Source organism: Homo sapiens, chromosome 12 (assembly GCF_000001405.40).
Source record: "Homo sapiens chromosome 12, GRCh38.p14 Primary Assembly".
In the NCBI taxonomy this organism is placed as follows: Eukaryota; Metazoa; Chordata; class Mammalia; order Primates; family Hominidae; genus Homo; species Homo sapiens.
In genome coordinates, this window is record NC_000012.12 from 195,727 (window position 1) to 219,511 (window position 23,785).

A 23,785-nucleotide genomic window follows, 5' to 3' on the forward strand; every position below is an offset into this window, starting at 1 on the left:
GTAACAGGTAAGCCTGAAGCCCAGCATCCATCCCTAATGTCACAGGAGGAAAACCCGCCTCTGAGTGAAGTCACAGGAGACCGAGGAGCCTTCCTGAGAGTGCCACAAGAGCAGCTGGATCCAACCACACCGAAACCCAGATATCCTAGGGTTTTCAGCAACCTGACCCAATACATTCCCCTTTCTGCTTAAGCCAGCTGTATTGGTCACCTGCAACCAAAAGAGACCTCACAAATGCATGTTGTGTGGTCCCTACAACCTCACTGTGGAGAGGCAGGGCAGGCGTTCACACCCCTCGTCAGCAGATAAGAAAAGTGAGGCTCTGAGCAGGGTCAGCAGTGTCCCCCGTGGCTCCCTCCCCTGGAGCCTGGCCTGCAGGCCGGCGGCCGCAGCTCACCTCGGTGACCAGGAAAAGCCCTATCAGGTAGCACATGACGGCGATGGTGAGGATGAGGAGCTCGCGCCGCCCGCTCTTCCGGAGCTGCCTGGGGAACATGTCTATGGAGGCTGTCACCAGGCACTCCACACAGACAAACTGTGGGCCAGGAGGGGAACTGGATGAGAGGGTGTGGGGCGGGCTGTTGGCCACCAGCCCTGGCCTCCACTTCCCCTGGCTCATCCACACTGATGCACAGGGGTGCAGGGAGCAGCACAAAGGGAAGAAATGGGGGTGCCCTGGGGTGAGCCAACCCTGCCCTTAACTACAACTCCATGACAAAGAGTCTCAGCAGTGAGGGTTAGAGGGGGGTATGTTCTGTCCCCGAGGCTCAGGGGCTGGGGCTGGGCAGCTCGAGCTGAAGGAACATCTGGGAGGAAACATCCATGCATGCAGAGGCTCAAGGCTGGGAGCACAAAGCCAGTGGCCCCTTCACCCCAGAGGGTCTCCAGGCCACACCCCCAACCCCAAGGAAAAGCCCTGGACAGCAGAGGGGGCCTCAGGTGTGTGGTCAGGGGAGTGGGAGTGAGGGGAAAGTAGTCCCAGGACAAGCAAAGGCTTGCAAGAGGGTCACCACGGCAGGGCAGGCTGGGCTGCAGTGACGTACCTGGCTGTCCAGCCCTAGGAATATGAGCATGATAAAGAACAGGCAGGACCACAGCTGGGATAAGGGCATCATAGTCACAGCCTTGGGGAAGGCGATGAAGGCCAGCCCAGGACCTGCCAGGTACACAGCACAGTCAGGGAGGCTCCAGGGCGTGTGCTGCCCTTGGGGAAGAGGCGTCTCTCTAAGCACTGTGTGTGTGTGTACCTGTGCACACACTTTAAGAGGAAAGGGTGATTCCATCCACTGTTCTTCTCTTTCCAGGCCTGGGAAGCATACCATTCATCCATCCATCCATCCATCTACCCATCCATCCATCCATCCATCCATCCATCCATCCATCCATCCATCCATCCATCCATCCATCCATCCATCCATCCATCCATCCATCCATCCATCCATCCATCCATCCATCCATCCATCCATCCATTCATCCATCCATGGAAGCCCTGCTTTGTGCTAAGCGCTGCCCCAGATGCTAAAATTAAAACCTACTACCCATAAATAAATCATATTGCCCATCTTCTGGGACTCATGCCTTTCAGCAAGAGAGAAGTGTGTTCTCTGACTCTCCTTCCCCTCAGGCCCCAGACAGCAAAGTGGCACCTACCTGACTCGGCCACTTCAGAAATGGGCACCCCTTGCTCTTGGGACATGAAGCCCAGGATGGAGAAGACAACAAACCCAGCCACAAAGCTGGTGGCACTGTTCAGGAAGCAGAGGGCGATGCAGTCCCTGTGGGAGTGGGGCAAGGGCAGACAGGAACGGGGAGGAAAAGAGAGGAAGAGAGAGAGATCAGTCATGGGAGGAGAGGTCAAAAGACAGTGAGAGGGGACCAAGGAGAGAGAAGGGGGAGGCAAGGGAGGCACAGAGGAGGGGAGGAAGGGAAGAGAGCATGGGAAGAAGACAGTAGAAGAAAAAGACAAAAATCAGGTGGCAGACAACAAAGAGAGAAGTGAGAGAGAAAAGGAAGAAGGAAGACATTTAGTCTGGGAAAGGAACCCATAAGTTCAGTCTGATACAACGTATAATGAATAAGGAAGGTCTGGGCCCAGAGACTATGGGTCTTTGCCCAGAACCCATCCCCAGGCCCCAACCCTCCTTCACCCCACCCCGGCCCACGCTGTTCTCACTTGTAGCAGTTGTTGTGATACTTGTTGTAGCTGCCCAGGGCTGTCAGGCACCCCTGGCAGATGGCAAAGGAGAAGAAGATCTGGGTGCCCGCATCCATCCACACCTACACAAAACCCCAAGAAAGAGGTAGAGGCAGCCCCCAGGGCCCAGAGCCAGGGTGACCCGAGATCCAGACCCGTCCCCTGCAGCACCAGCCTGGCCCCTCAGTGCTCCCTGAGCGCTTCCCTCCTGCATCCCAACTCTCCGTGAGTGCGCCCTCCGGTCTCCACGGTGATCTCCTCCCCAGTGCGGCCCAGTTTCGGTTTGGTTCTGTAGGCACTTAGTGAGTACCAAATACATGTGTGTTGCTTGGATTTCTCCAGGGGAATCTACAAACCATGGCTGCACCCAAGGCCTATCTGCAGGGCACAGCCAGAAGTCACTTGTCTCATTCAACTAAGATCTCTGTACATAGTGTCTTAAGCAGCTATGACCTGGGGACAAAGAGGCTGCTTCATCAAAATATCAAGAGAAAATGCCCAGGAACCATGGCTCATGCCTGCAGTCCCAGCTGCTCAGGAGGCTGAGGCGAGAGAATGCCTTGAGCCCAAGAGGTTGAGGCTGCAGTGAGCTATGATGGCACCACTGCACTCCAGCCTGGGGGACAGAGCCAGACCCTGCCTGTCTCTAAGTAAGAGAAAAAAAATTTTTTAAGAAAAAAAGTTATATTTGAGTGGTGGAATTACAAGAGATTTTTTTAGTTTCTTTTTTATAGCTTTCTTCCATATTTTCTAATTTATCTCCAGTGGGCATTTATTGCTTTTAAACCAAGGAAAAAGCTATACAAGACTTTCAAAACTACAGACCTGGCTGGGTGGGGAAGGCACCTGGGGAAGTGGTCCCAGCACGGTACATACCTGAGGGTCCTTGAGGCGGAACAAATCTGGCTTCAAGTAGTAGATGATGCCCTGGTAGGCTCCGGGAAGGGTGACACCTCTGATCAGCAAAATGACAAGCATCAGGTACGGAAACGTGGCTGTGAAATAAACCACCTGGAGGTGGGGGGACAGGCCAAGGTCACTCCTGGTGGGGACGCAGTGGCCCTCCAGCCACGCCCCACAGGCAGCTCGAGTCACACGGAGCTCAGTCCCAACCTCAGAGACAGCCTAGAGGGGCTAAGCACAAGAAAGTTTCCACACCTCCCTTTACACATTCCAGTGGGTCTGTGCTCCCCCCAGGGTGTGAGATACACATCAGCAGGGGGAGGGTGGGGAGGGGAGGAGGAAGACAGGGAGGGAGGCAGGGTACAGGCTTCCAGCCCATAACCTGTCCAAGACCATTTTTTTCCTCTTATTTTTAGTCAACATGTACGTATGTGCATAATCTGTACATATTTATGAAAAAGAGTGGTATTTCCATATGTGTATATAATGTGTAATGATCAAATCAGGGCAAAGACTAATTTAAAGTCCAGAATCTGGTCTTTCTTAATCCTTTATCCTGGCTGTTCTCTCCTTGCCCCCTGGCGACCCAGGGGAATAGTGACCAGATTTGCACAGTGATCTGTGGGGAAAGTTAGGCTGTGCTTTTGCAGGCTAATGGTTGGGGGAGCAGCGGCGGCCGGAGCTCCGGGCTGTTCTTCTCTGCCACTAAGCAAACTCAGCTCCTTCCCTGGGCGGCGGCAGTGGTACTGTCTGTGCTGTTATTACTACGATGATCACTTTCATCATCCCTATTACCAACTTGTTACAATTCAGGGAGGGGAAAGGCTGCTGCGGGAACAGACTCAGTGTATGGCCAAGCAGAGAAGTCCGTTTACTGACCACTCCTGGCTTTAAAAAGGCATGAAGCACAGTCTCCGGCTCTCTGGGTTGGAAATAATGCTCAAATCTGAATTCTGTCTATGTGACAAGCCCATTGTTGCCCATTCTTGGTGGGAACCCCTTCAATGACTGGAAACTCGCCACCTCAAAGACAGTTCTGTTTGCTAATTCAAACTCAAAATTATCTTGCTATGTTGTTAAATACAACAACAAGTGAGTCATAAGAGCGTGTGATCCTAATGATGTCATAGCCACACATAATGGATACAGACACACACACATACGTATGAGAGAAACCAGAAGGCAACACAGCAAAAATGAACAGAGATTAGCAGTGCCAACCTGCCAGCAGGGATTAGCTCCAACAATGAGATTTTTCTGTTTCTAATTTGCCCTGAATATTCTTTTTTTTTTTTTTTTTTTTTTGAGACGGAGTCTGGCTGTCGCCCAGGCTGGAGTGCAGTGGCGCTATCTCGGCTCACTGCAAGCTCCGCCTCCCGGGTTCACGCCATTCTCCTGCCTCAGCCTCCTGCATAGCTGGGACTACAGGTGCCCACCACCACGCCCGGCTAATTTTTTGTATTTTTAGTAGAGACGGGGTTTTACCGTGTTAGCCAGGATGGTCTCGATCTCCTGACCTCGTGATCCGCCAGCCTCGGCCTCCCAAAGTGCTGGGATTACAGGCGTGAGCCACTGCACCCGGCAGCCCTGAATATTCTTATGTAAACCGGACTTTTAAAGTCATATTGAAAAAGAAAGACTTTCCTTGCATCGAGCTAAGCTCCGCCTTCCTGTGGCTCCCCCTGTTCTCACTAGGCATCTCCCCTGCCCTGCTCAGGAAGTGTAGTTTCTTAATAGAAAGAAATCAGTTCTCCAGAGGGTCCCCCTCAAGTGTCCCCGTAGACTCTGGGGGCCAAAGGGAGCTTCCCAGGAGGCAGGACATCTCACCTTGCCTGTGGACTTGACCCCCTTCCAGATGCAGAAATAGCAGATGACCCAGGCGAGCAGGAGGCACAGGGCCAGCTCCCAGCGCAGGGAGCCCAGGTCATGGATGCCCGAGGTGATGCCCAGAACTCGTCTCCTGGAGGATTGGGAAAAATAAGTAATGAGGGGAAAGGCTAAAGGGGACAGTTTGCGTCTGTCAGCAAGTCTCCTGATTCTCAGAGCTGACCCCACGGATCTCATATTCCAGGGCTTCCCCCACTCCCCACCTCCCCCACAGTCAGGCCATGTTCCCGTAGACCAAACTACTACCATCATCCTATGCATATCTTTATCTTTCTAACTCATCCAGATTTTTTTTCTCGTACAGAAAGATGGAGAGAGAGAGAGATGAGGAATGTATAAATGAGCGTTTAGAGAGTAGATATTTATACATGCAGGTTGATGGGCAAGTGCATGGGTATCCCGTGCAGGGGCTGAGTGTGTTAGTTTCTAAACATGTGATGGGGTGCTGGAACTGCATGCATGGGTGTGAGGGTCCAGTACTGTGAGGGCATTCAGGTGTGAGGGCATTGGTGCCTACGTGGGGGTTAGCTCAGTGTGAGAGAGTACAGGCAGTCTTGCGTGGGAATGCAGGTGGACGAGTGTGGGCACACGTAATGTGAAGGGGTACGTTGTCAGGTGAGAGGGTGAGTGTGTGAGTGGAGGGTGTGCCCATGTCTTGATGTGAGCACTCCCGCCTTGGGCAATTTCAAGCTACTGGCATGACACCACCGAGCATGGCAGTGGGAAGAGACATGCACACTCAGCTCCCCTAAAGCTGTGAAGACTCTGTCCAGCACCCCACTGGACATGTGTGGGCAGACACACGCATGGAGGTAGGGATGTGGGGCTGAAGGTGGACATGACGGATAAATGTGAGTCTCCGTGGACCCGTGTGGGTAGATGTGAGAGCGTTCTCCCCTGCCTCAGTGATGTGTGGGGTTGGAGTGGGGCGGGGGAGGAAGTGCTGGAAAGCACACACAGAATCTTAAACTTGCACCCCAGACATTCAGACTTGCACAGCTCAGACATCCAAATTTCCTCTTCATATGTGGCAAATGGGCCCAGCACCTACTCCCAGAATTCCATGACAGGTGAGGTAAAATTCTCAAATGGGGTCACTGTGCCGGCTCCTGAGTGGTTCAGAAAGTCCGTGCAATGCTCTGTTGGGGACAAGGTTAGGGACAAGATGGAGAGAGATGCTCTTATACCCTAGTCCCCCTGGCCCTCTGGCCTTGCAGCCTAGTGGTCCTCACCACTCCTAGCCCCAAGAGCTTCTTTTGGAGCCCCCACTCTCCAGGGCATCAGGAGGCTCATAGGGCCAGCTCTTCCTCCCCCTGCTCTTGTTCCCTGTGAATCTGCCTGCTCACCTGGCTGCCCTGCCAACCTCAGACAGTATCCAGACTTCAGATCTACTCAGTCCCCTCATGGGCGGCTGGTACGGAATGCACTCTCCCCGCTTGCCCGTTCTGACTTCCTGTCTCTCCACTTGGCAGGCCAAGGGACTGCGGCCCTGCACCTGCTCTTCCCCCTGCTTGGAATGCTGCCCCCATGCTGGGCTCTCTCTCACTTCAGGCCTCAGATGACACTTCTCCCTCCCCTTGTTCTATGGTTTCTGCAGTTTCGTTCACCTATCACAATTTGTAGTGGTTGTGTTTATTTGTCTGTTCTTACCACCAGACTGTAAACACAGTGAAGGCTGGGTCCCTGCTGCTTTTGCTCAGCCTCGTACCAATCTCCAGCCCTTGGCACCGTGTTTAACACACAGTAGGTGTCCAGTAAGTGCTTGTTAAGCGCACAAATGAGTAAGTGGCAATAACCCTTGCAGTCATTTAATACAGTCCCTCTGGGTTCTCCCAACCACACTGACTCGTCCGAGTGGCTGGCCTGAGGGCCTCAGAGGAGCCAAGGAGCAGAGCTGCCCAGGAGCCCACGTGGCTTGGCTGCCAGGCAGGTTCTGCTACACTTATACTCCCCGTCGTTGCTTGGATTCACCAGCCACCGCAGCCCAGCCCCTAACAGGCAACATCCCAGGGGCTGAAATGATGGATACCTGTGTTCCAAAAGTTGTTGCAGGTCGTCCAGGGCAGCTCAGAAGTGAAGGAGCTGAACAGGTAGAAGAGAGCCCAGGCAAGGATGATGATGTAGTAGACATTCAAATATGACTCGATGACCACAGATGCCAGACCAATGCCTTCCAGAGTGGGGGAGAGATGGGGAGGGACAAGAGAGATCAATGTTAGCAAAAAAGTCACATAGAAGCTGCCAGTTGAGGTTACAAGGGTATTGGGTGCTACACAAAGAGCACCATTGGGGTTTATCCAGTGGCATGAGAAGCCATTCATAGCATATTTTTCTTTCTTTTTTCTTTTCTTTTTTTTTTTTTTTTTTTTTTTTTGAGATGGAGTCTTGTTCTGTTGTCCAGGCTGGAGTGCAGTGGCACAGTCTCGGCTCACTGGAACCTCCACTTCCCGGGTTCAAGCGATCCTCCCACCTCAGCCTCCGGAGTAGCTGGGACCACAGACAGACCCGGCTAATTTTAACTTTTTTTTTGTAGAGACGGGAGAAGGGGAGGGTCTCGCTATGCTGCCCAGGCTGGTCTCGAACTCCCGGGCTCAGGCGATCCTCCTGCCTCAGCCTCCCGAAGTGCTCACTACTTAACGAAGGACTGTGGACCTTTCAGAACAGCCTGGCTGAAAAATCAATGCTGACTATGAACAAAACCTCTCCTTTGGGGCCCGGCGAGCCCACCCTGGCAAGGACGGGTTCCACCGCGGTCTCCACCGCGCAGCGGCGTTGGGGCGGCCCGGGCGTCCGCCGCGGGGGTGGGCGTGGCGCTGCGCGGGAGGGACCCGCAGACGGCAGAGGGTCCGCGGGGAGCGGGCGGGGCGTTGAGAGCGCGCACACAGACACCCAAAAAACACACAAACAAGCGGCCCCTGTGCCGCGGCGGAACGCGCTGTGCTCGCGGCCGTCCGGCCCGTCCGGCAGCCCCGGGTCAGCCCGGTGAACTAAGCGGACCCGGGATGGCCGAGCCGGGGGCCGGCGTTCTGGTGGGGCTGTCTGGGAGAGGGGCCGGGGCGGCGCTGGGTGGAGAAGGGGCTCGCGGGGGAGCGCGGGGGCGCGCGGGGGCGCGCCTCGAGCCAGTACGGCAGCTCCGGGAGAGGGGAGTGCGGCGGGCGGAGAGGCCGGCAGAGGGCGGGGAGGGCAGCCCGGACCTCCCACCAGCACAGCGCGGTGCACGCGCTTCCCGCTGAGATGCCAGGCCCTGCCGCCTCTTTGACTTGGAAAAGAAGGAAAGAGCCACGACCTCTCTCCTCTCGCATTCCAGTGCTCCGTTTGCTCACCCTGACCGTGGCACCCGCATAAGCCGTCTGTGTGTTCCAGAGAGGCCAGCCCTGCATGTGCTGTCCGTGAGCGTGCTTGGACCTACGCATAGGACCCAGCTGAGCGGGACATTTACACGACTGCTGGGGTCGAGGGCAGAACAGGGGGAAACTGTGTTCTGGCGGAGGCACAGCACCCCGGGAGCACCCAGAGCCTGTGAGTAGAGCCATAGGTAAGCCAAGCTTCACTCGGCTCCAGCCCCTCGCTTCTGCCCCTGCAGGGGTCCCATGGTTGCCCCAAGAGGCATCAGCACCAAACTGGCCTCCCCCACCTCCCCACCATCAGTGCTAAGGGTCCCAGCTTGCTCGGGAGCCAGTGTTTCCCCACCAGGCTCTCTCCGGCCCACCCATGAAGCCTGATTCTGCACTTGGCGCAGGATATGGGAGTGAGCGGATGGGTGAAGCAGCGGATGGGTAGGCAGGGAGAGACCATGGGGGGATGCAGGCAAGATGGCGGCCCCATGAAGGGGAAGGTGGGGGAGGATACATACCCTGGAAGAGGGGGCAGATCTTCCTCCAGGCTGTGACACTCCCTTGGCTGGTGTATTGGCCCAACGCCACCTCCAGGAAGAACACCGGGATGCCGCAGACAAAGAAGAAGATGAAGTAGGGGATGAAGAAGGCTCCTGCAGAAGAGAGAGAGGCAGGGCTGAGCCACACCCGGGCTCTTCCTCAGCCTCCATCCTTTCAGACCCTCCTCCCCCAACAAACCCGCCCTCCACCATCCTGTTCTTAATCTCCCTCCTGACACTTTCCAAGGGCCCACTCCTGCCTGCGTGCAGTCCTGAGTGTTAGGCAGGCACAGGTGGGAATGTTCTGATCTGAACCCTACACAGAATGAGAAAGGCCTTGGAAGGGAAATTAGTGAAAACTTAGGTGGAAATTCTAATATATGCACTATTTATTTTCTTAGTGTGCTTTACAAATCTAGTCAATAGATTATTTTTGGAATAAACACATGGCTTCTGTATAACTTGATATGCTTATTAAACTCTTGGTACATTTTAGAGAAAAACAAACACAAACACCTCAGAAGCATTATTTTCCCACTAATAATTTTCAGGGTGTTTGTTGCCTCCACCCAGTTCTGATCTGAACTGGGCTCCCAGCAGAGAAGGCCATCACGTGATTAGGTGCCAACCTGCAGGTGCCAGAGGGAGGCCAGGCCTAACAGACATCCAGCAGGTTACACAGGAATGGAATCTGAAGACCACACCCAGGAGACCCACTTCAGTAGGAGTCACTAAGGCATAAAGCTCGAGTGAGAAGTTCATCTCAGGGTGAATGGATTATTGCGTGTTACACCATGAGAACGCTGAGTGCTTATTTGGTGCCTACTTCATGTCAGGCACTCTTGTACGTACTTCATCAACATCACAGTCCTTGCAAAACAACCTCCCATGGGGCAGGCTCTACTGTTATCCCCATTTTGCAGATAATAAAACTGAGGTCGCTTTAAAGACGGAAAAACCGAAGCATGAATGAGGAAACTGAGGCACAAGCCCAGGCAGTCTAGTCCTGAGGCTGAGCTCATAATCACTACACTATATACCTCTGATACTTCATATCCATATTATTATGTAGAAAACATAGAAAGTACAGAGGGAAAGAAAGGAAAAATCATTGTATATCCTTCCAGATTTCTTAAAAGCACACACATGTATTTCTTTTTTTGCAAAAGTGAGAAGTAATCATGTATCAAATACATTGTTTGATAACCACTTTTTAAATTTTTACCGTAAACCTCTTCATGTCAGTAAATACATATCTACCTCATCATTTTGATTGCTGCATAGTGTTCCACTCTATGTATCTATCCTAGTGCACTTCGTCAGTATGTTATCATTGGACTTTTGGTCATTTCATCCGAAACACTGTCATAATGAAGACCACTGTCCACATCCTCGTGCACTTGTCTAATTCATTCCTTAGTACAAATTACCAGTAGAGGAATTCCTGAGTCAAAAGTTATGCACTTTTTTTCTCTTTGTGTGTGTGTATGACAAAATATACATAATATAAGCCACTTTAACTGTTCTTAAGTATACAGTTCAGTGGCATTAAGTATATTCACAACGTTGTGCCACCATCACCACCATTCATCTCCAGAGCTTTTTCATCATCCCAGACCGAAACTCTGTACACGTTAAACACTAACTCCCCATTCCCCTCTCTCCCCAGCCCCTGGTAGGTGTGATTCTACTTTCTGTTTCTATGCATTTGCCTATTCTAGGTACCTTATGAAAGTGTAATTATACAGTGCTTATCTCTTTGTGCCTGGCTTATTTCACTCAGCATGCATGCCTCCAAGATTGATCCAGGTCATAGCATGAATTCCCTTCTTTTTGAAGGCTACGTACTATTCCCTTGTGTGAACCTACCACTTTCTGTTTATCTGTTCATCTGTTCATGGATATTTTGGTTGTTTCCACCTTTGGGGTATGCACATTTTTTAAATACGCATTTCCAAATTGTTCTCCAAAACTCTTGCACCAATCTGCATTCCTGACAGCAATATGTGGGAGAAGGAAAAAGGTTGTCTTCTGGATCCCAGGGAGCCACAAAAGGCCAGTAACTCTCCACTGAGTTCCAAAGTCCCTTTGAACCCCATGTTTGCCTTTCCAACCCTAGGAATACTAGAGTGTTGGTCAGCACAGTGCCAGTAACACCACTGACTCAGGTTTCAGTGGCTTGGGAAGTCCCAGGACCTAGGCTGAGGGGTAGCACTCGGTAGAGGGACACGGCCTAAGGCCTCCCCAGAAGGCACTTTACAGGATGTCTGTCAGGGCGTGTGGCCCACGGGACTCCTTCCCACCTGTTGTGTGCAGAAGGTCCTTCCCTCCAATAAAGGAGGTGGCTTCAGTTCTCACCTGGGAGTGTGGATTTCCGCCCCACAGAAGACGGGGTGACTTCAGGAGGCCTGGAGCTGGGCCTCGCTCAGACCGGGTCCTCCCTGAAAGGGTGGCACTAAGTCTGGACCTTCGAGGGGCAGATGAAGAGGTTGTTTCTGGAGCGCGTTAGGGCGTCCTCTACCCTTGGGTTTTTAGAACGCTGACACTGCTACACCCTCCCCTCAAATTCCCTCATCAGTGCCTTGCTTTGGAAGGTTACCCTGCTTCATGTCTCCTTCGTGTCAGCCCAGGCTATGGGCACGGGCGGCCCAGCGATGTCGCACAGGGACCTTTACCAACATGGTGTGTCCCACAGGGACCTTTACCGACACGGTGCCCTGAAGCCTGGGGTTGGTGTCAACACCTCTACATTGTGCCTTACCTCTGCTGCATGCTCTTTCCTGAACCACTCACAACCCGGATAATGGGAACTTCCTAAAGTTCTCTTTTGAGGTGAGTGATTTCTAGTTCAGGGGCTCCCCTCTTTTTCATAACCAAAGCCCTCATTAGACCAATAGTTTTATTACTCTTTTTTGTTTCTTTTGAAAGATTTTTCTCTACAGAACTATGTTTACTAATTAATAATCAATAAATTTCCCTGCATATATTAATAAAATTATATTTAAGTGCCAATCAGGCCTTATGGTCAGCTTGATATAAACTTTATTATCACTCTGAGTTAGTACAGTTCAGTCTAAAGCAAAAAAATAAAAGACATTTGGACTAGTCTGTGACATCCTGTTTCCACATCCATCCATCATTAGGTTGTTGGAAATGAGAAAATGAATTCCTGGCCCTTCTTTACTACATTTCTAGACCCCCAAGGACCAGTGACTCCAGAAGGGGACCCCAACCTCATTTGGCCCCCTCATGTTAAAGATGAAAGAAAGGGTGTCTTTCCCAAGAGTTAGGCTGGGAAGGAGGTAACCGGATCCGATATTCCATAATGTTACTGCGGGTACTCATCTCTCTCTCTCCACCCCACCCCACGGCCAGGACAGAGGCCACAGCCACAGCAGCAGCCAGCATGACAGGACAGAGGCAGGGTGGGCGCCCGACACCGCGGCCCTGCCTCCCAGGCCCTAGTGCTGTCTCCCTCCCAGATGGCTGGGTGAGGAGTGTGCCGTGACGCAGAAATGGTTCCAAGGCCCTCTGCAGTCCTGGGCAAATCCTCCTCCACTAAAGGAGGGCTTAGTCTGAGCACCTCCATCTCCAGCCCTAACATCCTATATGCCATGAGATGGTGGCCCTGGATGAAGAAGGAAACCACCACCCTGCCCCTTCATCTTGCCTCCCCTGACTTTCTGGCCCAGGGTCAGCCTCAGCACCAGAGACTGAGCCAGCCCAAGAAAGCCTACCGCTATTTCTTAGGAGTTGTCAGTTCAAGCAGCTTGTGATCGCAACTATAAGGTTTAAAACACATAGCAAGATACACAGTAGACCCTCCGTAAATATTGGTCAGATTTAATATAAATAGTGTTTAGGAGGATTTTCTCAACAAATTATCTCTAAATGTGAGTATTCCTTTCTACCTTCCTGAAATGTTTCTAATATTTGCAATAAACATATACTGTTTCCACAAGAAAAATAAAAGTGATTTCAAAAGGCCAAAAAAAATGAATCTAACCACTCACAAAGGACGGCGCATTGAACGATTGTATTCCTGTGAAATAGCCCAAATAGGGATCCATCGAGATGGGCAGCACATAAGCGTTGCCAAGGGCTGGCAGGGAGAGGGAATGAGGAGCGACTGCGAATGAATATAGGATTTCTTTCGGGGATGATGAAAATGTTCCAAAAGTGGTTGTGGTGATGGCTGCACAATTCTGTGACTATACTAAAAACCACTGAATTGTGCACTTAGAATAAGGAACTGGCCCCTCCCCACCACTGCTAATTTTTACACCCAGTGCTGAAAAATAATAAAATCATGTTTCTCTAACTTGAAAAAAACTCAAAGGCAAGGTATTTCTCCAACCAAAATTGCTTCGGTGGCTCCCATCTCAGTCAGAACAGAGCCTGAGTGACCCCTGTGACCTGTCCAACCTCAGCCTGAGTGATCCCTGTGACCTCTCTGCCCTCACCCGGTTATTCTCTGCCTCTCTCATTCCATCCCAGCCACACCTGCCTCCTCACTGCTCCTCAGACAGGCCTGCAGCTTCCACCCCCAGGACCTTGGCACCTGCCGTTCCCTGTGTCAGAGTGTTCTCCATCCAGGATACATCCACGACACTCATGCCTTCACTTCCTTCAAGTCTGCTGAAATGTCACCTTCCCCTCTGCACGCCTAGCATTCCCTATCCCTCCTCCCTGCGTCACGTCTCACCCCTCCACTCATCACCATTTGACATAGACCACGCGGAACCGTTTGTCCGCAACCTGCCGCAGACACAGTACAACTCCTCAGAATCCTCCCACGGAGGGTGGCACACGGAATGTGTTCTGTTTTGCACCTAGCGCCGGGTCTGGCACGTGACAGGCCTGCAATCATGTTCACTGAATGAATGACTGAATTCTATCAATGATTGACCTTTACATAGTCATGAAGGAGCTTGTTAAAAACTAGAATTTCTTGGTCCTGCCCATTGCCCAGTTTCATCTTCACCGTCACCCTGGGAGGTATTGTCCCCATTTCACAGAGAGGGACGCTGAGGCTAGTAGTGGAGCTGGAACTCAAACTCAAGTCCTCCAATTCCAAAATAGCCCTCCTTTTATAAACCACACTGCCCAGGAAGGAGGGCCCAGGTAGGCACTGCCCAGCTGCCAGCACACAGCTCTCCCCACCATGCCTACCTCAAAGTGAACTCACCACCTCCGTTTTTGTAGCAGAGATAGGGAAACCTCCAGACATTGCCCAGCCCAATGATCTCCCCGGCCACTGACAGCACAAACTCCATCTTGTTGGTCCATTGGCCCCGATCCTTCACCTGGTCCTCGTCTTCCTGGTCCAACTTCTCTCCCTCCTCGGGGACCCAGGAGACTGCAGGAGGCCCACACTCTTGCACTGCCACCTTCCCGTCCATGGCTGTGTGGTGGGTTGGGAAGCCCCGCTGGGTGGGCAGGATGACGAGGGCCAAAGCCTGGTGGGAAGAGAAGAAATTAGCTGTAAAACCCGACATGCTCCCGCCAGCCCTGCTTTCCCATCCCGATCTCCGCTGTCAGCATATTGTTGTTCTTCCCAAGTGCTCCATGGCATTTACACCTAAAGTTCCAGTTCGTTCTCGTAACTGTAAGAGCAAACCTTAGTTTTCTGAGTTTGCAGATGAGGAAATCCAGGCCTTGGCAGATGAAGTGATTCACCCAAGACCACTCAGGAGTGGAACCGTGATGAAAACTCAGGCTCGGGCTTTTCATTTTCATGTCCCTTTTTATCTGTACAGCTCGCCACCATCCCAGCCGGCCCATCTGCCCAGGTCCTTGATGTCTGCTGAGTGACCTCAGCCTAGCCTCTGGCCTCCAGGTCAGAAGGGATCAAAGCCTGCCGAGGTAGCAAGGGTCAACGGGCAGGTGTGGCCGAAGTGACTGCATGGTTCTCTCCTAGCCAGCTGTGTGCTAAGGTGATCGATCAGCTCAGAGTAAACAGGGGAGCCAGCAGCTCTGGGCAGCTGATTGGGAGGAAAAGAGAAGGTGGGGCCTCTGAACAAGGCCAGATGACAACAACGATTGGCACCAGGGGCAAGTGTGAGCTTTCGAGGGAGCCCCAGCTCCTCTTCTCTCTGTTGTATCTCTGTCCTGAGAAAAACTAGGGGGCCCTGGTGCCAGAAGGGATCACCAGACCAGTTCTCACCTGGCTGGCAGTCACCTCCGGATGACCCCCAAGGTGACCAAATGACGGGCTCCTCAAAAGGGAGGCCCAGCAGTGGCTGCCCCTCTCAGCAGGTCACTGCCCTTCCCTTCTCCCTGCCCTCCTAGAGAGCCCAAAGCTCCCTAGACCTCCAGAAAAGTGACGTGGGGCATTCTTAGTTCTACTCTCTGTCCCTTGGCCTGCTTGTCAACTGCCAGGAGACAAATCCGCTTCTGTCAGGGTGTATCTCCAATCTATGTTTGCCTTCTCCTCCCTCTCATACACACAAACAATCGCCCTGAGGCCACCTCTGCCTTTATTCCCAGGAATTGCCAAGAGGAGGTGCCCCAGGCTGTAGAGGGGAGCACCCATCCCGCAGCCCCTCACCTCTGAGGGGTATTGAGGGAATCAAAGCGACCAGGTCTACCAAGTGCCCCACGCTCCTCCAAGGCTCTAGAGAAACAGGGATTCTTTTTATTAAGGAAGAGTCTGTGTTTATTTACTGGTCCTTTTAACCCAGGCAACAGCCCAAGCCCAAGTCAGTTAGAAAGGCGTGGGCAGGAGCCATTTGAGGTAATGGAAATTTTTGAAGGTGACTTGGAGGGTGCAGGTTATCCCAGGAATGGGAAAGCATGTCAGAGTGAAATTCTGGTATTGGGACCTACTCAGAGCCTTCCACTGTAAGCTCAGCCCAGGAGGGAGGATGAGGATAGCCACCCAGTGGGAATCAGAGGCCTTGAGTCTCTGTTATGAGGGAGAAGGCAGGGGAAAAGAGGGAGGAAAGAGAGCCTCTGGGTTCAGAGTATGTGATCAGACCCATGGGGGCCTTGAGCACTGGAGCCTGGGGATGAAAAAATGGGGAGTTGGGCCCCAGGGGAGAAGTTGGTAACATCTGAACCCAAATGTGGATGTTGCTACAGAATTAGGAATGAGGCACCCTGAGAAATGACCCTGGAATCATCACCAAATAAATTAACAAACTAGTGAGCGAGCTTGAAAACACGCATGAAAATGCACCAGATAGGAAACCCAAGTTCTAATCCAGATCTAGCTGTTAATGATAATAACAACAGGTTGACATCTGAGTCAGCAGTATGTTAAAGACAGGCACTCTTTCTACGTATTATTGAAGTGCATCCTCCTAAGAATCTCTGAAGTTAGGTGTCACTATTAGCTCCACTTTATGTGTGAGGAAGTGAAGCTCCAAGAGATTAAGGAACAGTGCCTGGCACCTGCAGCGCCTGGGGGACACTGTTCTCAATGCTAGAATACACTTACCAAGACAATGAGTCGTGGAGCTGGGTCTCTAACTTGCTGTGTGACCTCAGGCAAATCACACCCCCTCTCTGAACTCTAAGTTTCCCTGGAAGAGAGAAAGACCACTGCTCAAAGGGGTTTTCGGAGGGTGAGGGGATAAAAACAAGACTCAATAAAGAGACGGAGAACTGACCGCCTCTACTCGCGGGCCATAGCGTTGCTAATCCCAGGGCGAGCCCCAAGCACAAGGGCCCTTAGGGCGGTGGTCAGAAATGAGCCTTACTGTTTCCAGACCACAGGCAGCTGTGGCAGGACCAAGGTGGTCTCAAGGGCTGGGAGAGTGGAGGCTTGCTGGGGGAAGGAGTAAATGAAGGGAAAGCCGGAGGGGCGCAGGGGCAGGGAAGCGAATCACAGAATCCAGTTTGGGCCCAGGATTTGGGTTTCATCAGAAATAGGGGAAGTGCAAAAAGAGAACATGAGCTGGTGAACCGACACTGACGCAACATGATTTTTTAAAAATAAAAATGAAAATAAAAAAGTAATCGGGAGGAGCGTAACTTGTGGTTCAGAATGAAAATCCAGAACGGCAGAATGAAAGCAAGAGCAAGTGAAAAGGACAGCTGGCCCCGAGCCGTGGTAACTCAAGAGGGAACACGCTTAAACTGCAGCAAGAGGGATTTAAGTTAGACTCAGGGAAGAAATGGCCCAGAGGATGTTAGACACCAAAACAAGCTGTACTGAGTTCTCCTTTCTGGGCTACTTTTAAAAGGCAAAGGACTACACACCCCACCCCCGCTGTGCCCTTCCACCTCCAGCTTCGGCTGGCCGCCTCTCCAGCCCCTCGAGTCTCCTCCAAGGCCGCCCACCTGCTTTGCTAAGCCGGGACAGGGGGGTGAGGGGTGGGGGATGGGCCTCATCATACTTCAGTGCCCTCCAGAAGCAAACACACCAATTTCCACACCGGGCTTGGTGCTGCCCAGAGAGCAAATCTTCAAGAGACTAGAAAGTCCAAAGTTAAGTCTGTTTTCAGGAGCTGGGCATGTCGCCAGAGGCCCAGCTGGGGCTAGCAGAGGTGCAGACGAGACCAGAAATGCTGCTGCCCATGTGCTGCTGGGATCCCAGCTCTGTCCCCTTTGCTCCCCAGTCCAGCATAGGAATAGCTCAGACCCTGCACACGGGGGGATGGGACACCCAGCCCCTGCTTCAGTCCACACCCACATACCAACACCCATTCCCATACACACACTGGTGCCATTTCCCGTCACGTCCCTTCGCACACACATACCTGTGTGCATGGCACCAAAACCTGGCTCTCTCTGTAGTCCTTCACACCCCGTGAGTGCCGGTCTCAGCTGGTGGCTGCCTGCAACTCCCCTGAGTGCCCCCCTCGGGTACAAGCACACCCATAGCATCCACCGCCCAAAGCCAAGACAGCTTCCTCCTGGGAGGCGCCTGGCACCCAGCTCGTCACGCTCAGCCGGCAGGCAGCGGGCAGGAACCCCTCACCTGTGATCATTTATTGCAGTTCCTGGGCCCTCGGGAATGCCCCGAGGTTTCTCCTGTCCACTTCTCCTTCCACCTTGCTGGGCACCACCTGCTTCCCCTCCCCTCGTCAGATGACCACCCCTGCTTTCACCCACTGCCGTGACCAGCTGCCCATCGCTGGACTTTCCTGCTCCACAGGCTAATCACTGAGCTGCTCCCACGCTGGATGGGGCGGAGCTAGGGGGCACCCCTTGTCCTGAGAGTCGTGGGCATCAGACTTGCCCTTTGGCCTGAGGTTATTGCAGGTCCTGCCCCCCGCTGCAGACACGCAGTTCCACAGAGTCTCGCTTCCCAGGGCTCTATCCCTCCAGCCCCTCTGAGCAGCAGTTGGAGACTGCAAAGACAGAGCCAGCCCCTCCACTTCCCGCTCACCTCAGTCCCCAGCACCGGCTCCTGTGGTCAGCTTGGCTGTGGGCATCAGGTCTCCAGGAGAGTCCCAAGGCAGCTGCTTATGGGAAAGCCAAGAGAGCCGGGACCTGAAAGGGAAACTGCCCTCCACGTTCACGCCTTACCCTGTTCCTCCCAGCGCAGAATCCCATGTGACTTGTCCAGGGACTCCCAGACAGAAAGAAGCCGTGTGTGTATGTGTTGGGGCGGGGGCTGTGTGTGTTGGGGAGTGAAAGGACAGAGAAATACCAGGAGCAGCAGGAGGGACTGAGGCCAAAAGTTTGTGAACCGAGATTACAACATCCAACCTCAGGAAGTCAAGTCCTCTGTCCCCAGCGCTCCCACCCCCATCCCACTCCCACTGTGAACCCACTGTCTCCAGACCGGTGCCCTCCCCGTGGGCACAGTCCCATGATGGCCCCTCCAGAGCTGGGCTGAGCTGCTGCTCCCTTGGGCAGGGGAAGGGGCTCAGAGACTCACACCCTGACCTCATCTCCCCTCCTCCTCCTCCTTGCCCTTCCCCCTTCCCCCTTTTCCCCTATCCCCCTCCAGAACCATCTCCTTCCCAGGGATGAGGAGACGGGTATGTGCAGCACAGGGGACAGCCCTCTCTTACCAGAGACTCCAGGCTATAAACTGAGAACCTTGGGAGGGGAGGTGACCTCACTGACGAGGGCAAGGGAGGAGGGTGAATCACACGCTGGAGTTTTCCACCAAGTACCTGCCCTCTGTGGCTTCTAGGCAAGGCCCTGGACCTTCACAACCCTTCTCCTTGGGATTTTCCTAGAGAAAGCACCCAGAGCGTACCTCAAGAAGCAATGTAGAGAGGACCCAGGATTGGGACCAGACAGACCTGAGTTTCTTCTCCTCCTCTATCATGTATCAGTCACGACAGCTAGGCAAGGGTCAGCCTTGGTTTCCCAGTCTGTCAAAGGTAGGTAACAACACAATATCTACTTTGCGGGGTTGCTGTGAGGGTGCAGGGATATCATAGGTGCTTAAGGGGAGGTGTGGGTGTTTGTTGTGTGTCCTCTGGAAGCAGAGGCTGGGATGGTGGGGTGTCTGGTCCCAGGCACCTCTGGTCACTGCATAGCACCAGGCACCTAGCTAGAATTTGTCTGGAGTGGCCTGCCAGCTATCAATGGGGAAGGGTATTTTTTGAATACATGTGCCCTATGCCGTGTGCCCAGTGAGCTCCTCCAGAACAGCGTCCTGGTCACTGTCCCTGAGCACGCCCACCTGGTGTGGGGTACAGCACTGTCCCACCGCCCTTCATTCAGAATAGCTGGTGCCTCCTTCAAGACAAAGGAGGTGCTTCTTCAGCTCTAGGTGGTATGAAGGGAGAGGAAGTTGCAGGGAGAAAGGGAAATTTCCTTTTACATGTGCTTCCTCTGTGTATTTTAGAACTTCCCAGCAGGGGTGGGGTGTGAAGTGAGACTCTCAGTCTGTAGTTTTCCATCAAGCACCCCCACGATATGTCTCTCGGGCCCCTCTCAGCCTCTCCTGTGGGGTTCCACATGAAGAGGAAGGCAGAGCAGGTCTCAGCTCTCAGACCCATTGCCTCTATGAAAGCAGAAGCCGGGCTGGGGGTCAGCTGTGGCACAGTAGGACATGGCCCAGCCAGAATCCATACTTGAGCTACCCCGGTGCTCAGGTGTGGCCTGTCCCTGCATGTCAGGTCCACCATGGATTGACCACAGAGTTATTGCAGAGGGGACATCAAAGTCCATGTGATCACCTAGCTACAGCTACTCCAGAACAAAACACCAGCCTCTCCATAAAAAGGAGAAAGAGGGGAGAGGATCAGACAAGCCAAGATGGTGAATTTCCTTGTTGGTTCCCTCAAAAATTATATTTAGCACATACAGTGTGACATGCTTTCTGTGAGGATGAACAGCAACAGCCCAGCAGTCCTGTCACCTCTCCTTCACCTTGTCAGAGAACAGCTGCCTGGTTGACCTGGCCCAGGGGGTACAGTTTGACTTTCCCCCAAAAGAGCTACCTGGTCCCTCCCTGTTTTTATCTGACTGCCTCTGGCCTTAGTCCCACCATCTTAATGTTGAGCCCTTCCTCACTCAAGTTTTCCTAGCCTCCAAGACCCACTTGGTATTCAGACCAGTTAGTAAACTTCTGGAGGCCAGAGACTCTCTAATGTTGAGCCCTTCCTCACTCAAGTTCTCCTAGCCTCCAAGACCCACTTGGTATTCAGACCAGTTAGTAAACTTCTGGAGGCCAGAGACTCTCTAATGTTGAGCCCTTCCTCACTCAAGTTCTCCTAGCCTCCAAGACCCACTTGGTATTCAGACTGGTTAGTAAACTTCTGGAGGCCAGAGACTCTCTAATGTTGAGCCCTTCCTCACTCAAGTTCTCCTAGCCTCCAAGACCCACTTGGTGTTCAGACCGGTTAGTAAACCCCTGGAGGCCAGAGACTCTCTAATGTTGAGCCCTTCCTCACTCAAGTTCTCCTAGCCTCCAAGACCCACTTGGTATTCAGACCAGTTAGTAAACTTCTGGAGGCCAGAGACTCTCTAATGTTGAGCCCTTCCTCACTCAAGTTCTCCTAGCCTCCAAGACCCACTTGGTGTTCAGACTGGTTAGTAAACCCCTGGAGGCCAGAGACTCTCTAATGTTGAGCCCTTCCTCACTCAAGTTCTCCTAGCCTCCAAGACCCACTTGGTATTCAGACTGGTTAGTAAACTCCTGGAGGCCAGAGACTCTCATCTTTGCAAAAGGTAGGCATCCTGGAAAGCCTAGCTGAGACTGGGCTGTTTCCACACTGAGGAGTGTGCAGGGTGAAGACGACAGGTAGCTGAATGAATCTATCACCTTTGCTGCAGTAGGAACCACTGGCCACCACAGAATGTTCTCACCACCCTCATCTTCTAATCTCATCCATACTTTCAGAGGGCCTGGAATAGGACTTATTTCCTGAGCATCTAACTCGGACGAGGAGTTTTACATGTTACTTCATTTCATCCCCTTAAGAACTTTGAAATGTAAAAATTATTAGCCCCATTTTACAGACGGGAAACTGGGGTGAATAAATAGAAGCTAAGTGATTTGTCCTAAGGCCACACACAAGTAAGTGATGGTGCTGGGATTTGAACCTGGGCCTCTTGGCTCCAAAAATCTATGCTTGTTCCACTGAAGCATACTGTTCCCCTGACCATGAATATCTATATGTCAGGGGTCTCATTTCATAATTCTTTATTTCTGCCTCTAGCATTTAATACAATTCTGCCTCAGAATAGGCACTCAGTGTTCATTGGATGGAGGATGGATGGATGGATGGATGGATGGACAGATGGATGGATGGATGGATGGATGGATGGATGGATGGACAGACGGATGGATGGACAGATGGATGGACGGATGGATGGATGGATGGATGGATGGATGGATGGATGGATGGACAGACGGATGGATGGATGGACAGACGGATGGATGGATGGATGGATGGAGGATGGACGGATGGATGGATGAACGAGTGGATGAATGGAACTTGAAGGGGGAAAAATGATTACAGTTTTCCCTTTTCTGGGAGGACATTGTTTCCCCAGAATCAGAGGGCTCAGATGACTCAGGTCCTGCTTATCTTGGACAGTACTGCTCTGTGTTGTCACTTGGTGAAGAGTGTGGAGTAGCACCCTCAGGCCACAGGACCAGGATTATTTTAGGACTACGTCTTCCTTGCCTTCTAGTGAAAATGCTTAGCTCGGCCGGACGCGGTGGCTCACGCCTGTAATCCCAGCACTTTGGGAGGCCGAGGCGGGCAGATCACAAGGTCAGGAGATCGAGACCATCCTGGCTAACACGGTGAAACCCCATCTCTACTAAAAAATAGAAAAAATCAGCTGGGCGTGTTGGTGGGCACCTGTAGTCCCAGCTACTCGGGAGGCTGAGGCAGGAGAATGGCGTGAACCCGGGAGGCGGAGCTTGCAGTGAGCTGAGATGGTGCCGCTGCACTCCAGCCCGGGCGACAGAGCGAGACTCCGTCTCAAAAAAAAAAAAAATGCTTAGCTCAATAAATGTGTAGCCTCCTTCCTGGAGCCCAGTGCAACCTAGTCTGAGACTGGGGACAGCAAGGATATCTCTAAACTCTTCCTGAACTTTTCTGTGATGCTGACAGTCCGATGTGGTGGGGCTGCAGCTATGGGAAATAGGATGGGTTTGACTGAATGTGTCCCCAGGGCAGCTGTCCCTATAGCATCTGCTGGACTCTAACAACACTGATGTAAGTAGCAGTATTCCTGTTTTATGGAAGAGAAAACTAAGGATCAGAGAGGTTAGCTTGCCTAAGGTCACACAGTTAGTAAGTCAAAGGGCCAGGATCCAAGCCAGGCCTGCAAGCCCCTCTACAGGAGAATGCTCAGCTGGCTGTGGCGTCTCTGAGTTTGTGCACATGTGCACATGTCTCTGAGGATAAGGAGGGGCTGGTGCCTGCATGCCTGTGTGTGGATCTGAGACCTGGGTGTTCATGTGGGCAAGGTCTGAGGCCCCGCGCAGCCTGGTGGGCTCAGTGCCTAACAAGCTGCTTTCCCGCAGCCCTGGGCATAGTCTGTAACTCTCCCGCCACCTCTGCTTCTGCTCTCCCTGTTCAACTTGCCCCCAGGCTCTCACTGCTTGCCTTTCCTCTCTAACAGGTGTGGCCTCCAGACAAGAGAGGGCTCCCTTCCTTTTGGGTCTTCTTCTCTGGGAACTCTAAGATATAGCGCCCACCCCTCCAGGCTAGGGAAGCAGGTCACTGACTCGGCTGCCCTACACCCCCCCATCCCCACCCCCACCCCCGTCGCTTCAGCCCCTCTGGCTAAGGCCGAGGTACTCCTTCCTTCCTTCCCTCAACCCTGACCCCGACCCAAGCCAGCAGCATTCTCATCTCTCTGCCTGCCAGTCCCACCTGCGCTGTTAGAGCCTCACCCCCTCAGCCACCTCCCTCCAGTTTGATGACCTCACACCACGTGTCACCAAGTGACGGAAAGGACCCTCACACCCATTACCTCCTTTGAGCCCTACGACAAGCCCTGCTTGGAGAAGGAGTGCGTGGCGTTTTCTGCAACTGCGAAGCAAAGAACCTGAATTCCAAGTGACTGCACAGACACGCAGCAAGTTCTGGAAGCACACCTCCGGGTTCTTACACCAATAGGTGACTCTCACACCGTGTTCCACCATCAGGAAGCTCCTCGATGCGACTCAGATCACATCTGGGTCCCACATTCCCGCTGAGGCCGGCAGTTCCGGCAACTTTGGTCATACGGATGGAGACAGGTATTATAACCTTAGAACCCAACCTGCACCATGAGGTCCTGCCCTACCCCACTTATTATTTTCCACAGCTCTTTGCTCTTTTCTGTCATGGTATCTGTCACTCACTGTTTAAGAAATTGTATCTGTTTTTACTCCTGGCATGTCACGAGCACAGCACGGCACCACGCGGGAGGTGTTCTGTCAACAGTGTCCGGTGGATGGAGCTGCTGGCTTGCAGCATCTCGAGTTCGGGCCTGCCTCTCCAGCAGATGTATTTCTCCCCCGGTAAGACTGAGATTGAGCCCAGCACCCTCGGGGAATGCCCGAGCAG

At 52.7% G+C, this 23,785-nt stretch overlaps 1 protein-coding gene and 1 long non-coding RNA gene across 13 annotated transcripts in view, besides 3 other annotated features; one reads left to right on the top strand and one right to left on the bottom strand.

Annotated features, from left to right (window-relative positions):
* Nucleotides 1–18,431, bottom strand: part of SLC6A12 (solute carrier family 6 member 12) — a 30,310-nt gene extending 11,879 nt beyond the window's left edge. For 5 of the 12 annotated variants that reach the window (XM_047429417.1, NM_001122848.3, XM_005253748.4 and 2 more), the window contains exons 1-12: nt 18,196–18,431; nt 16,300–16,384; nt 14,047–14,317; nt 8,838–8,972; nt 7,014–7,154; nt 6,036–6,123; nt 4,925–5,057; nt 3,071–3,205; nt 2,174–2,277; nt 1,651–1,775; nt 1,044–1,156; nt 398–535 (exon numbers count right to left, since the gene is read on the bottom strand). In XM_047429417.1, the coding sequence (XP_047285373.1) occupies nt 398–535; nt 1,044–1,156; nt 1,651–1,775; nt 2,174–2,277; nt 3,071–3,205; nt 4,925–5,057; nt 6,036–6,123; nt 7,014–7,154; nt 8,838–8,972; nt 14,047–14,260 (1,326 nt within the window). In that variant the 5' untranslated portion in view covers nt 14,261–14,317; nt 16,300–16,384; nt 18,196–18,431. Of the gene's footprint in view, nt 1–397; nt 536–1,043; nt 1,157–1,650; nt 1,776–2,173; nt 2,278–3,070; nt 3,206–4,924; nt 5,058–6,035; nt 6,124–7,013; nt 7,155–7,711; nt 8,026–8,837; nt 8,973–14,030; nt 14,318–14,478; nt 14,843–16,299; nt 16,385–17,563; nt 17,977–18,195 lie in introns of those variants that run through there. The other 7 variants (NM_001122847.3, XM_047429416.1, NM_003044.5 and 4 more) reach the window with 6 other exon arrangements.
* SLC6A12-AS1 (SLC6A12 antisense RNA 1) lies at nt 7,919–9,367 on the top strand. Its single transcript, NR_120475.1, has 3 exons — nt 7,919–8,013; nt 8,292–8,503; nt 8,914–9,367. It is a non-coding gene; the product is annotated as an SLC6A12 antisense RNA 1 (long non-coding RNA).
* Nucleotides 15,996–16,768: an enhancer, noted in NCBI's record as "NANOG-H3K4me1 hESC enhancer chr12:320888-321660 (GRCh37/hg19 assembly coordinates)". NCBI's record gives its function as "activates a minimal SCP1, AML or CMV promoter by ChIP-STARR-seq in naive H9 embryonic stem cells {active_cell/tissue: H9 hESC(naive)}" and the evidence as "EXISTENCE:reporter gene assay evidence [ECO:0000049][PMID:30033119]".
* Nucleotides 16,780–16,829: an enhancer, noted in NCBI's record as "active region_5777". NCBI's record gives its function as "activates an Ori minimal core promoter by ATAC-STARR-seq in GM12878 lymphoblastoid cells {active_cell/tissue: GM12878}" and the evidence as "EXISTENCE:reporter gene assay evidence [ECO:0000049][PMID:35858748]".
* Nucleotides 17,541–18,312: an enhancer, noted in NCBI's record as "H3K4me1 hESC enhancer chr12:322433-323204 (GRCh37/hg19 assembly coordinates)". NCBI's record gives its function as "activates a minimal SCP1, AML or CMV promoter by ChIP-STARR-seq in primed H9 embryonic stem cells {active_cell/tissue: H9 hESC(primed)}" and the evidence as "EXISTENCE:reporter gene assay evidence [ECO:0000049][PMID:30033119]".
* Nucleotides 18,432–23,785: the final 5,354 nt, after the last annotated feature.